A 14861-nucleotide genomic window follows, 5' to 3' on the forward strand; every position below is an offset into this window, starting at 1 on the left:
ACAGTGGCAGACCTAGAATGCAGGTCTTCTGTCTCCAGCTTAGTTGCTGGCTGGAAACCTCAGGGCATCTCCAAGCACCTGTGAGCTGGCCCTGGCTTGCTTCTGACTGAGCCATGCAAAGTGCTTTCACCTGAAAACAACCGTCTATCTGTAATCATAGAGCCTTGGTCAGGATCAAGGTAGCAGACATTTCTTTGCATTGACGTCTATTTTTCCCCATTAAAAAATAGACAAAATATTTCTATATAAATCTCTAAAAGACGAGGGTTCCCCTTTTGAAATATGCCCTAAATACCATCCTCCCATCGTAAATGAACAATTCCTTAATATCATCATCAAATATCCGGTCAGACTTCACATTTGCCCTATCGTGCTAAGTGTTCTATCTTTTTCCAGTTTATCTGTGTTGGGATTGAAACACAGTCCTTGCATCTGGTGACTGTGTATCTGAAGTCACCCTTGGCCTCCCTTTTAAATCACTGCTTTCATTGTAAATGTCTTCGATGGATTGTGAGTGACTTTACACGTGTCTGTGGGCTGGAAAGCAATTGCTCTCCTATTAAGACGTCATTGACCTTTCCTTTAGGTTTGCCCTGGAGCCTCTCCTGCCAAAGAAAATGCACTCCAGGTCCCAGGACAAGCTGGACAAGGATGACCTGGAGAAGGAGAAGAAGGACAAGAAGAAGGAAAAAAGGAACAGCAAACATCAAGAGATATTTGAGAAAGAATTTAAACCCACCGACATTTCCCTGCAGCAGTCTGAGGCTGTGATCCTTTCGGAAACGGTAACCCGACAGGGTATCTTTCCTCGCTCTGCGGTAGCTTCAGGGACCTACCTTTGCCCCACCTGTAGCCAACAGGGCTGACGGTGGGCTCTTATTGAACTTGTTATAAATTAGCAACTCAGAAACCTGGGGTCCTCCTCCCCTAACCTCAAATGTCCCAAGGCAGTAGGACAGCCAGAGCCACAGAGAGACCTGGAGGAAGGTGGGCTTAGCATTTGTCCCCCTTCCGCAGGGCCTGGGGCGAGGCCGCTCTGCTGCTAGGCTCTGCCGCTCTGTTGGACTTGTTTCCTACACATGTCCTAATATCCCAGAAGATGAGCAGGAGTCCTTTTGTTGTCAGGAAACAGTCCTTGGTGTCCGCTAATGCCTTCCCCTTGCCCCTTGCTGACTGGAACTCTTCTAAGCTAGTTACGGCCCAAGTGTTAAAATCAGCGGAACTAGAATCCAAAGACCTCTTCCCACCGGGCCCCAGAAGCTGGACCCAGTCCTGGGGTATCCTGCTCTGTCTCATCTGCTCCACCTTTAAATCTCCTGGCCGTCTTTCACAAGGACTTAACAGGGACTTCACATGACCCGTACTGCTGAGCTGACCTTGAAGACGGGTCCCAGTGAGTCTCGTTCATTCCACAGTCGTGGGCGTGTGAGGGCGGTGAAACCCAGGAGCCGGCTCTCATCCTGGGGCTGGGCCTGAGGGCTGATCCTCCCAGAAGTGCACCACATTGGGAATCTGTGTTCGTCTGTTTTGTGTTACTGCAAAGGAATAACTGAGCCTGCGTCATTTATGAAGAGGTTGATTTGGCTCATGGTTCTGCAGGCTGTACGAGCACAGCACTAGCATCTGCTTGGCTTCTGGTGAGGCCTCAGGAGGCTTTTATTCTTGGCTGAAGGCAGGGGAGGGGAGCAGGCGTGTCACATGGTGAGAAAGAGAGTATGGGTGGGGGGTGGGGGGTGTGTTCCAGGCTCTTTTAAATAACTAGGTCTCACATGAACTGATAGAATGAGGACCCACTCATTACCCCCATTACTGCAAGGACAGCACCAAGCCCTTCACGAGAGATCTGCTCCCAGGACCCAGATGCCTCCCACTGGCCGCACCCCCAACATTTCAACATGAGAGTTGGAGAGGACAGATATCCGAGCTGTATCAGAGTCTGAGTGCGAAGATGAGGCACAGCCCACTTCCAGGGCGAACTTGATTCCAAAAGTGCTAGCTGTAGTGGGAAACAAAAATAAAGAAGGAGTTCTCATGGGCTGTCAGCATCAAAGGTGAAGTCAGGATTGGAGCCGCCCTCCCTGGAAATGGGTGGGTGTCTGCTTGTCTCAGCCCTGGGCGTCGGCGGGCTGTGATTAGAGGGTTAGACATACTGCACTGCTTGTTTATAACTTAAAACCCAGAAGGTACGTTTTATCTATACTTCATGCCACTCAGAAAGCAGTCACATGCTACCTGGCTATCTAGAGGTGGAAGGCAAACGCCCCAGCCATGACTTGACGTCCAACAGGCCAGCGCTGCTCTGCGGCCTGTGGGTAGGTGCTGTGGCTGCAGCTGGGCTGGAGAATTCCCATGAGGGTGGCCGAGGATGTCAGACCAGGGGGGCACTGGCTGGAGGCTGGCCTGAAGTACCCAGACGCTCAGCGTCCAGCAGATTGAGGGGTTCCTGACCACACAGCATGCTCTGTCTGCTATTCTGGAAAGTTGAGATGCCCACCACCCCAGAGGCTGGCTGAAGTCTCCATCTCTTAAGCCCCAGGTAGATTTCTCAAGTCTCAAAACATTATAGCTGGGTAGGGGAATGAACAGAAGCATTTTTGAATATTACTTAGTGCCAGACACTGTGCAAGTCTTTCATACATTTTAATTTAAGCTCCGTTTTAAGATGCTAAATTGGAGGGCCTCGGAGCAGTTGTGCCAAGTGGCAGAATTGATCACAGCTGACTTGTGTGAAAAGAAGTCCAAGGACACAAGCACACACGTGACAGGCACAGAGCCAGCACAGTGCATCTTCTGTCCCTGCCCTTGGTGGCCCAAGCATCCTTCTAGGGTCCTTGCAAGCAGCAGGGCTAGGGGCAGCCCCACGAGGGCTGCCTCCCCACGGCTGGCCCTAGCACCCTCAGCAAATCCACAGGAACTCACCAAGGTCAGAGCACAGAACCTTGGCGGTGCTTCTCAGCATCTGGCCCAGTGTCAGCTTGAACCTTCCAGCACCAGGAGGCGGAGAATCCGAACCTCCCACTGGGGGACAGGCTTACTATTCTTGGTCCAGCCCAGCAACCTGTCTGTCTACGCAGAGGGCACCTCCTCCAGGGGACGGGTGCCGGCAAGGTCTGTGAGGACAGTCAGACACCTGAAGTTTCCTAGCAGGCGGCTGCGTGCCAGTGACCAGCCATGCGCAGGAGGGGAGGTGCGGGGGAGGAGGTTCACAGGAACAGAAGCAGCAACCCATTCCCTGGGGACAACACCAGCCACCCCCCCACCACCCCCACTGTAGTGTCCTCCTTGCCCTTCCCCCCTGCGGGCCTCCCCTGCACCCCAGCTTCTGCAAAGGTTTTCCCTCCTCACCCCTGTGGCTGGGTTCGGTTTCCTACTTGATTTGCATCATCAACAATTTCCTGACCTTTAGCTGAGCCTCTCCAGCCAGAGCCTCCAGGCTGTGATTTGCATCTCAGCAGTCCAGCCTCCTCAGCTCTCTGAGTCAGAATGTGCCCTCCCTGGGATGCAGGGAGGCCAGGAGAAGCACCTTAGGAGACCCCAAATCTCTCTTGCCAGCACATTCACCTTCAGAGAGCCCAGCGCTTCACCCGGCCTTTCCTGACTTCCCACAGCAGTTTTGCTGCCTGGAACAAGGCCATTTCTTCAGAGGAGGTGCAGCTCCTGGGCGCTTGGCTCCCCCGACAGCACAGGACAGTTCTGGAAATAGACCTGTTGGCCTGGCTCTGTCACTCATTTACCAGAGGGCCTGAATCTTCCTCCCAAGCCTAGTTCCCATTTCCTCCTTCCAGCCTCAGTAACCTCCAGACTGGCCCTGGCACAGCTGACTCCTCCTGGGGCAGACATTGAAGCCTATGTGCTCTGTTGCTCACCCAAACCAGCACAGCGCATCCACCAGGCCCCCAGACCCAGCCGCAGCCCCAAGCCCAGAGCTGCCCACTCACCTGCCTGCCCTTCCTTGGGGGAGAACGTTGACCCCTCCTTTTTGGCTGGGTTAATACGTTTTCTAATTACTCCTGCGTCAGAGTATTTTGTAACTGCTCCTGTTCCCCAAAGCCTGATGATCTGAGACCAACCTGTAAGAAATATGTAAATACAACTTACTGATGGAACAAACAGGGAAAGGGCTTAGGTGGGGGAAAGTCAAGTGCCTCCAAAAGCCAGAGATGAGCAGGAAAAAATGCATTGAAAAGGAGAGAAAAAGAATCCCTGCCCAGTAATGACCTAGGATGAGAGAAGAAGCAAAGGAAAGGAATAGCAAAAATCCTTCAGCCAATTCCTAGACTTTCAGGTACACGCCAAGGAGACCAAAGCATGCTGAGCACAGCTGGGAATAATTCTGCCATGGAACAGGCCATTGATTTTGTTCTTGACCGCACGGATGTTGCCCCGTGTGTCCTTGCTGGCTATCTGCATGTCTTGCAATAATACTCAGCCACTTTTGCATCTATATTCAGGTCACCTGCGATGTGCTGTCCAGCCCAGGCTGTGTGAGGACAGCAGTGCCAGCCCCTCGTGTGGGGGAGGTCTGCTGTAACCACATGCTGGGCGGCTCCAACCCCAGAAACTCATTGTCTCCCAGTTCTAGAGGCGTCGGCAGGGCTGATTCCTTCAGAGGCTGTGAGGGAGAGTCTACACATGCCTCTCTCCTCCTGTCTGGGGGTTTGCTGCCATCTCTGGTGTTTCTTGGCTGATAGAAGCATCACCCTGACCTCTGCTTTCATCTTCACGTTGTGCCCTCCCAAATTTGGACACGTCCATGTCCAGATTTCCCTTTTTCATAAGGTCACCTGTCCTGTTGGAATTGGACCTGTTACTGGGAAGTGTGCAGGTCCTTGGTTCTTAGTCTTCTTAGAGGAAAGAATTCAGCCAAGAGACCAATTAGTAAAGTAGGTAAAGTAGGCTTATTAAGGAAATAAAAGTAGCATGGACTCTGGGAGAGGAGCAGGCTGACCCTGTGGAGAGCAGCCCCCAGGAGTTCTGTGTTGTGGTTTTTATATTGGACTGTTTTAAGCTCCCACCTCTGTCTTAAGCCTCTCCCTTTGTCTTTGTCTGTTTTCCCTGCTCTGTCTTAAGTCTCCACCTTTTCCCTGCCTAGTTCCTGCCCAGGTTTGTGGGGCTCTCCCTTGCTGCTAGTTGATGTGCACACGTGGGGCTCAGTGATCAGTAGGAACCTACCTAATGGCGGCATTGCTCATTACCGCCACCCCAAGAAGGTCATACAGTGGTCAAATCTGTACATACTGTGTGTGTGTATCTCTTAGGCATTCATCCCTTGCCCTGTTTCCCTCCTGATCAGCATGTAGCTAGTTACATTGTCACACGTTAGCTACAGAGGGAGCAATTACTGGGTGTCTTATGGGGTGTTTCAGGATGCTGCCTCCTGCCTAGGTATTCTCCTCCCCTCTGCTCACACCTAGCATGTGTGTTTTGGGGGGTCTCTGGGGCATAAGGTTTTCCAGAGTTTCCTCCCCCGGTCCCCCATTCCTTTTCATGTCTTACTATCTGCCCACTCTAACAGGCCCACCCTAAGAGCCACACCTTAGCTTGATCATTTGCAAAGACCCTATTTCCAGTTAAGGTCATATTCTAAGGTAATGGGGGTCAGGACTTCAACATAGGAATTTAGGTGGAAACGCAACTCAGCCCATAACAGACCGTAACTGTGCTCTTTCTGTCCTTTTGATGTAGATAAGTCCCCTGCGGCCCCAGAGACCGAAGAGCCAGGTGATGAACGTCATTGGAAGCGAAAGGCGCTTCTCGGTGTCCCCCTCGTCACCGTCCTCCCAGCAAACACCCCCTCCAGTTACACCAAGGGCCAAGCTCAGCTTCAGCATGCAGTCGAGTAAGTGGAACGCTCCCCACATACGAATCGTGCTATAGCTCCGTGACTTCCCCTCACTGAAGGCTCTGAGGTTAGAAGCGCTTCCTCCCTCCCCTTGCAGCAGAGGGTGGGAGTTTAGATAAACACCTGGCTCCCTGGGAGTGTCCCCTGGGACAGGCTGTAGAGTCTGGACTTCCGCAAATCAGGCCAAAATCCAGAGCCCAGGTCTCCAGCACTGGAGGGGCAGAAAGTGCAGGGTCTGTCCCAGGGTCCATGTGGAGGGGACCTGTGAAGCACGTGGAACCACCACACTTTCTATCCCAGGACGCAGAGCTGCAGGAGGCCGTGGGCCTGCTTGTGTCTAGGACTGTGCACTGGAGAAGCACCTTCAGGCAGTTGGCAACAGCTAAGGGGCACAGCTTATTTTTCTAGTTTTGACCAATGTTTAAATTACCCTAGAAGTTCCCACAAAACTGGTGGCTCCAAACAGCAGAAATTTGTTCTCTGAAGGTTTTGGAGGCCAAAACTCTGAAATCAAGGAGGTAGCAAGTTGGTTCCCTCTGGTGGCTCCAAGGGAGAGCCTGTCCCGGGCCTCCCTCCAGCTTCTGGTGGCTCCCAGCAGTCCCTAGCCCTCCTTGGCTTGTGGCCACATCACTCCCCTCTCTGCCCCTGTCTCCACGTGGCCTCCTTCTCGGTGTCCTCTCTTCTTACAAGGACATCAGTCATTGGATATAGGGTCCACTGCAAATCCAGGATGATCTCACCTTGAGATCCTTCACTAATTACATCTGCAAAGACCCTACATCCAAATAAGGTACATTCTGAGGTTCTGGGTGGCCCTAAGAGGTCTACATTTTGGAGAGACTCTACTCAACTTACTCTAAGTGGCAGACAGCTTTTCACCACTAGATTCAGAGCCAGCAGAGAGGAGAAATCTTGGCAGGGAGAAGGTGCTGAGGATGGGGACGGCAGCAGAACCGGGGAGCCCACTCTCCTTCCTGTGGCACAGAGAGGGGTCCCAGGCAGGAGAGCTCTGTGCCCTGTGGCGAGGGCTGTGCAAGGCAGTGAGTGATTGTCCTCTGCTCCTGATTTTCCTCTTGCTGAAAGGGGAGCAGTCATGATTCTGGAGACTGTCAGTGGGTGGGGAGGCTGGCTGCAGGAGTGGATGCGTGAGTCTAATTGAGTAGGCAAAGAGCTTTCTGGGCACTGGATATGTCTTTGGAGGGTGCATCTTCACATCCTTGCACTATTACTACATGATCTTTCTAAAAATGTGTTTAAAATCTATTTTAATATTGAAAACAGACACCATCACTGCTGCTGCGGAAAACAATTTAGTGGTTCCTCCAAAGTTCAATGTAGAATAAACCTATAATATCAACTGGCAGTCCTGCTTCTAGGCCTGTACTCCAAAGAATTGAAGACAGGGACTCAAACAGATACTTAATATTCATAGCAGTATTTTTCAAGAGCCAGTAAGCAAACACAGGCCAAATGTCCATCAACTGATGGCCAGATTAACAAAATGTACGTCCAAAGAAATGTCCGTGCAATGGAATATTACCCAGCCGTAGAAAGGAGTGAAGTTCTGACACGTGCTACAGCACGGACGAACCTCAGAACCATGATGCTGAGTGAAATAGATCAGTCACAAAGGGACAAATATTATATGACTCCACCTAAATCAAATATCTAAGGCAAGTTCATAGAGACAGAAAGGCATGGCTCACGCCTGTCATCCCAGCACTTTGGGAGTTCGAGGTGGGTGGATCAGCTGAGGTCAGGAGTTCGAGACCAGCCAGTCAACATGGTAAAACCCCGTCTCTACTAAAAATACAATAATTAGCTGGGTGTGGTGGTGCGTGCCTATAATCTCAGCTACTCAGAAGGCTGAGGCAGGAGAATCACTTGAACCTGGGAGGCGGAGGTTGCAGTGAGCTGAGATCGCACCACTGCACTCCAGCCTGGGCGACACAGCGAGACTCCATCCCAAACAAAAAGAAAAGAAAAAAAAAAAGAAAGTAGAATAGAGGATACTAGGGGCGGGAGAGAGGAGTGGAGAGTTACTGTTTAATGGGTACAGAATTCCGTTTGGGGTGATGGAAATGTTTCAGAAATACATCATGGTGATGGTTATCCCCCACGGTCGATGTGATTAATGCCACCAAATTGTCCCCTAAAGGATGGCTAAAATGGCAAATTTTATGTCGTGTATATCTTACCACAATAATAGCAAAGAAGTAGGCAGCAATCATGAGGACAGTCACTCACCGAAGCCTTCGTATTTCCCTCAGCCCCATGGCAGAGCTTCCTTATAAGCTTACAGTGTGGCCTTCCTAGCATGCATTTTCCTAATAAAGGATTTTTCATCAGATGAATCCTAGGGGAAAACTCCAAAAGAGACTCATCAGTAAAAATGTCCATTTTTCTCTCTTTAATATAAAAGAAAACAAATTATCTTTAAGAGTCTCAACAAGGTTTGAGAAAATATCCTGCCTTAATGATTATTCCTCCGTTTGAAAACGGCTATTTTTTCCAGTTTACTTTAAAAATCAATTGTACTTCCCCTTGGCTTATTTAAAGCAACAGCCACAGTGACTGCTATGGCTAATGACTTCATGTCATACGACTGTGGATTTTCCTGTGGAAAGAGATGGGAAGCTGGGTGGCTGGTCGGCGTGTTAGACTTTGCTTAGTGAATCTCTCCAGGTGATAACTGCAGGGGTGACTGCAGGGGCCTGGCTTGGCTTCGAAAGCAGTAGCAGCAGCAGCGGAGACGGTCCTGTGGCACCCAGCTGTTTAACTTCCACCGAGGCAGGGGGCCCGAGCAGGGACAGAAGAGGCCGGGGTGAACATCACCCTTTCTACAGTGGCTCGATGCCTTGCTTCACACTCCAGTTTTAGTGTTCGTGTGATACTTGCTATTCTCTTTCTAGAACATTGCCGTTAGGAGAGGGTCCCACCCTTTGTGTTCGCTCCCTCCCTGCCCTCATCTGCTCTGTTGACAAACGTTTTCTGCCAGATGAAGTGTTTCTGCTGTGCCTGCCTCTCTGGGAGGGAACGTGGAGCAGCTCCCTGAGCATTCAGGCTCCGTGGGGAAGTCGGGCTGATTTTAAATAGATCCCGGTTTTCCAGGCTTGGAGCTGAACGGCATGACGGGGGCGGACGTGGCCGATGTCCCACCCCCTCTGCCTCTCAAAGGCAGCGTGGCAGATTACGGGAATTTGATGGAAAACCAGGACTTGCTGGGCTCGCCAACACCTCCACCTCCCCCTCCACACCAGAGGGTAAGTCGGCAATCTGAAACACAGGCTTTCATTGCTTCGCCTCCACAAAGTAGGACGAGTCCCTCATTCCAGATACTAGCAGGTTTACTTCGGGCTAGTGAGCACATGAGGAAAACCATGTATGATGGGCCCGGGTTTGATTTTGCAAAAAGATATCGAAGCAGTAAGGACTCCAGTGGGTAAGATCTGTGGCTCTGCGTCATTATCAATAACTGCATCAAAAAGCACATTTTGATATCATGCCTCAGAACGAGGAAGAGGATAGACATTCCAAGGTTGTCATCGGTTATCATCACCATGGAGATCATTCCACTGGAGATGCAATTCTAATGACATTTTGATTTTTGAGAAGTAGCTTTTCTATCAAGAGGTCTGACTTTTTAAAGAGGTTGGCCAATATCGCCCTGTATGGCAGGCACCTGTTGTACACCTGCTTGGCCCTGGAGAAGCTTGTCTCCAAACATCCCTCCAGGCAGCCTCACCTGGTGCTGGGAGCTCCTGGGTGGTGACAGGCACTCACCTTACGGAGACTGCAGAGGACAGCCAGGTTTGGCTCCTGGGCACAGTCATCCTCACTGTGCCCCCACCCCTGGGCACCCTCCCCAGTGCTAGTTCGGGGGTGCTGACCTGGCTTCCTCCAGCAGCACTGGCCTTTGTAAGCCTAAGCAACCTGCTGGAACCCCTCTTCAGCGTGAGTCCCTGAAGCTGGTACCCCCCAGCAGCTGTTTTAGTCATTCATGCCACCCAAAGTGCCTTGTGCCAAACAGCCCCTGGGCCTGCCTGCCCGTACAAATATTAGTCAAAGTCATGAAAAGCCATTTAAACAAGCACCTCAGTTACCAGTTGACAGTTCTAGAAACATTCTTTTGAGATCCACCCCGTTCCTCTCCTGGTTCTCAAGGATGCTGTCAGGCGTCACTCATCCCTGCGGGTCCCAGCCCCATCCTCATGTCGGGCCCAGGCATGTGTGGAGGGCAGCATGAGTGGGATGGAGGCGGGCGAGCGATTGACTCAGCCACGGCGGGAACTTCTGCTTCTAGGCTCAGGCCTCCCCAGGCCATGTTATTCACAGCCTTTGACAATTAAATCAGTGGTGTCTGAAGGGTAAAATATCCCTCTTCATATGTGGACAGCTGGCCGTATTTTTTTTGCTATCCAGCCTTAGTGAAGTAATTATATGGCCGCAAAACTCCTGTAGAACATTGAAAACATGAGATTGTTGGGTGGCTCTGTTTTTTTCATAATGGTGAGACATGGTTTTTTTTTTTATTTTTCTTTAATAAACAATATAAATCCCACGTGCCATTTCTTTTTCTTTTTTTTTAATGGAGACTCGTTGACGGAGTGTTCCACAAGGTCATTACATCCCTTATGAGAGGAGTGGAAGAGAGAGGGTGTTTGTGTACAGCATACGTATTTCATCATTCCCTTTGTATCAGAAAACTAAACAAGCAGTCATCTTTAATATCAAAGAGGCAGATTGCTCTTCTGAGACCCAAGTGCCATTTAAACAGGCTCCCTCTCCCTAGAGACGCCTCGATGGGGAACCGGTCCTGGAGGAGGCACCAGGTTCCCCTGTGAAGAGGGCTTTCTGGCAGGCTGGAATGGTTTGTTGCACCACAGAAATGGAAGCCGGACCTTCCCCGGCCATTTCTAACTACTTGTGAGAGTAAAAGGAGATTCGGGGGGGTCTAACAAGAATATTGGGTTGCTTGGAGTATTGTTTCCCTAACAGCTTCGTTAATTGGTCACATTCTCTTCTCTCTATTTTATTGCAAAGGCAGGAATGTTCCCCCTAGTCTCCCTACACTAGTAAACTGAAAATTCTAAACTTAGAATTACAGCCAATTCCTCTTCTTGTTACAAATCAACTCCGGGGTAACATTTTATTGTCTCAATTTCTTGGATACACCATTGTGGGTTACTGATGCCACATACAGTTGATTAAGTAAGGGATAACATGGATTAGCTCTCTCTCAATTGATAAAGGGCGTGTGAATTCAATTAGATTAATGACCCAGGTGTCTTTGGTCTTTGTTTCTTGTTTAATTTACTTGCAGCCTGAGTGCATGCTCAGGTGACACGCTGGTGGTTAGTATGTCATCATTAGGCAGAAGCGGTTGCATTTCCTGGGGTGCCTCCCTTTGCACAGGCCCTGAGAGCTGTTCTAGGATAATGATCATCCATCTGCCATGATGGGGGTGTGATCAATATCCTCCTGTCACTCTCATTGATCAGCCTCAGGCTTGTAGGCAACTCTGTCTTTAGTTGTTGCCACTAAGCTGTCATTTCTTTCCAAATGGCTCTTCCTGTCAGTAATCTGAGCTTACTGAGTTTATCACCATTAATCATTTTGCTTAATGGTGATAAACTTTTGACATGCTCATACTTGGCATAGAGGTCATTTGCAGCGCTGTGTTGGTATCAGGCTGTGTTAGTGTGGTCCTTACCTGCTCCTCATTGGCCTATCAGTGAGTGTGGCTTTCACATGTAAACAAACAGTTTCATCAGACCTCAAAATAGATGTCTCTTTTAACGGTTCTAACCAACCTTAAAAAGACTTAATTGTTGTTTTACCTTCCTTAATATAAGGTCATACACTCATAGGACATCTTTATATCAGCTTTACTTTTCCACATTTATTCTCCTCTCTGTGTTAAGCATTAGGTCATTTTTGTATTTACTAGTCTGTGAATCAGGAGGAAATCTGGGCGATGAGTGAGAGACTACTGCGTCACTGTCTATCCTTGAAAACCTCTTTTCTCACATTCAGCTAAATGCAAACCCACACTGAGAGGCTGATAAAAATCCACTCTTACCCTTAAGTTAGACGATAGTGTTCTGTGATTTCATTCTGGTTCTTCTGCCTGTGGCATGCTCCCACTTACCCTGGTCTGTTCACTTCTTCATTCATTTGTTTACTTACCTGTTCATTTCTTCATTTATCCACTGACTCGTTTATTCACTCATTCATTTATTCACTCATTCATCCATTTTTCTATTCGATTGACCCATATTTCTAGAGAGTCTCCTGCACATCAGGTGTGTGTGATGGGCATGAGGGTCCCAAAAGCAATAGGGTGCAGCTGCCCTCAGTCATAACACTCCAGCCAGGTCCATCAGCAAGGGGTTTGCTATTATCTTCACATTGGAAATTAATGTTCTTTTTTGGAATCTAAAGTAATATATGCCCATGAGCTGAAGCCAGCCAGCCAGCCACCTGTTTCTGTGAATAGTTTTCTTGGAACACAGCCACACCCCTTTCTGTACACACTGTCAATGACCGCTTTTCGGCCACACCAGTGGCATTGAGTGGCTGCAACAGAGACCGTGTGGCCTGCCAAAAAGCTGGAAATATGTACTGTCTAGCCCTTTCCAGGAGAAGCTTGCTAACCTTTGCCCGAAGCTCAGAAAGCAAAAGAAGGTCTCTCATCTCACCCCTGGAGAGTGCCTCTAAGGACTTATTTATCCCTTAGACAATAGATGGATAACTTGGTCGATAGCATCTAGATTTAAAAAGGCCACGCAAAGGGCAATGGTACCTCTCAGGGGCTGTGCAGACGGTGGGAGAGTGCTCAGAGGCGTCAGAAAGGCCCAGGCCCATAGCAGCCCAGTCTTGAGCCTAGTAGACCTGCCAGCCCCAAGTCGGACAGGATGGAGCCCAACTCATGTGGGGAGGATGGTTCCGGCTGAGTGGCTGTGCCAGGTCAGACCCCACCTGGAGACGGTGTCTTTTCTGTCAGGACATCAGTTATGTGACATCTTCCCCATCCTCATGTTTTTTAGCATCTGCCACCTCCACTGCCCAGCAAAACTCCGCCTCCTCCCCCTCCAAAGACAACTCGCAAGCAGGCATCGGTGGACTCCGGGATCGTGCAGTGACGTCGCAAGCCTCTCTGGAAAGAGTGTGCTGCCCCTCCCCATCTCCATGCCCTCTCCTTCTGTGTCCCCTGAGTCTGCTGTTTACCTCATTGGGCCTGTGATGTTAACATTTCGTGCGACTGCTTTTTCTTCAAAGGAGTTCAGTTCTCACCATGGAGTGAGTGGCCTTTAGCGTCATGGAGCAAGGTGGGTCTGGGAGGTAGATATGGGTCCGGGATGTGCTATCGTAGTTATCAGAGTTGGGGGCCTCTGAGTGTGTCTGGCTCTGAGAGAGTCTGAGTCTTGCCCAAACATTCTTTCTTTTTGTGCCAAATGACTTGCATTTGCAAAGAGCTCAATTGCTCTGAGCTCAGCCAAGTAGGAGAGGCTAGGCCATCACTCTTAGGAAGCTGTGTAGTGATGATGTATAAGAATCCTCCTCACTGTCATGGGATGTTGTATCCAGCCCCTCCTTGTTCCAGCCGGTGGTGTGACTTCGTTGGTTGAGGTGTGTCTCCAACCTACATCAGACCATGAAGTTCAACCCCTCCAGGGAAGCTCCTGATTTCCCCTGCATAATTGAAAATAGGATATTTCTCAGCTATTGAACAGTTACTAATTTATGGGGTGGAAACAGCATTAAGAATACTGAATCAAATGGAAAAACAAATGAATACAGGAAGATAAGTGTTCGTTCTTTTCTGAAAAAGAGTATGTGTACCACAAGAGCTGGTTTTAATTGGGTGAATTGTTTTTGTCCTCATTCTGTACAGAAATTTGTATATATGATGGTTCTTAGAACTTGTTTTAATTTTTGTGGTCCTTCCGTTTATTATAATAGGCGTCCACCAATGATTATCCATATGTGTTCTTAATTTTTAACTGCTGGAAGTGTTAAAACACACACACACACACACACACATTTTTTTTTTGAGAACTCCAAAGTCCTGAAAATTTTGGTGGACAATGATTTTTAAAAAACTAACTTTGTATAACCTAATATTTGTATTCTCTCATCTATATTTTTTTATTCACTATAATCATGATACTCTTCTAATAGACTTAAAAGTTAATCATTGACAACGAAAAATAAAATGTTATTTTAAAAGACTCACAGTGTCTGACCAATTATGTTTTCATCCTTGATTGTAAAATACAGACGCTGCTGTTTCTGTTCTGCTATGTTAAAGTGCTTGGTGACACACATTTATATATGCACCTCTTCCTCCAACATTGTTTTTAATCCTCTCTGTTAATTGTGTCTGATCTGGAGCCCAGATGGGAAGTGCCCGTGTCCCGTGCATGGCTGCATGTCCTGATAGACAGGAGCTAAGCAGAGACCAGCTGAGTGCTTCCCCATCACCAAAGCCAGAGGGCTGTGGGGCTGCAGATCATGTGGGCCTCTTTTCAGCTGCTAATTTAAGAAAGGGCTTTGGTTAATGGGTGTGTGATTTAGCTGTAGAGGTCTGGACATGGAGAGCTTTCTCCAGGGCCTATCTGGCTGGATCTGGGGTGGCAAGAAACAAGGAAGGCAGGGGGTTCTCTTCTCAATGGACGGGGCTCTCACCTCTGCTCCTGCCAGACGTGTGGAAGCCATAAGGATGTGCCCTCTGCCCATCTAACCCGGCCTAGAAGGAGGCTGCTGTGGAGCCCAGGAAGCTGGGAGGCTCTTCCTCCTACTCAGGTGCTGTCCCCAGCGTATTCATGCTTGTAAATATCCAGTCCACCCCTGAGAAACTGTAGGCCTGTGTGAATGTGGGATTTTTTTCTTCAAGAATCTTTACTGTTTCAACTGTTGCACCAAGATAAATATTCATCTTCTGTCGAGTGTGTGAGAAACTGAATATTATCCACAACCCTAGAAATCATCGAATGGGCACACCCATGTAGGCGAC

General features: G+C 49.0%; 1 protein-coding gene and 1 long non-coding RNA gene across 18 annotated transcripts in view; one reads left to right on the plus strand and one right to left on the minus strand.

Moving 5' to 3' along the window:
* The window catches only part of DOCK1 (dedicator of cytokinesis 1), a 547089-nt gene extending 533013 nt beyond the window's left edge, over window positions 1-14076 (plus strand). For all 16 annotated transcript variants that reach the window (NM_001377544.1, NM_001290223.2, NM_001377546.1 and 13 more), the window contains 4 exons: window positions 587-785; window positions 5686-5839; window positions 8954-9105; window positions 12892-14076. In NM_001377544.1, coding sequence (NP_001364473.1) covers window positions 587-785; window positions 5686-5839; window positions 8954-9105; window positions 12892-12987 — 601 coding nt within the window. In that variant the 3' untranslated portion in view covers window positions 12988-14076. The remainder of the gene's footprint in view (window positions 1-586; window positions 786-5685; window positions 5840-8953; window positions 9106-12891) is intronic.
* On the minus strand, window positions 1633-3662 carry LOC124902524 (uncharacterized). Of its 2 annotated transcripts, none has more exons than XR_007062337.1 (2): window positions 3562-3662; window positions 1633-1996 (listed from the first exon to the last, which is right to left on the minus strand). It is a non-coding gene; the product is annotated as an uncharacterized LOC124902524 (long non-coding RNA). The 2 variants fall into 2 exon arrangements; XR_007062338.1 differs by lacking the exon at window positions 3562-3662 and adding an exon at window positions 2920-2988.

The sequence above is a fragment of the Homo sapiens genome, chromosome 10, assembly GCF_000001405.40.
Source record: "Homo sapiens chromosome 10, GRCh38.p14 Primary Assembly".
NCBI classification, from domain to species: Eukaryota; Metazoa; Chordata; class Mammalia; order Primates; family Hominidae; genus Homo; species Homo sapiens.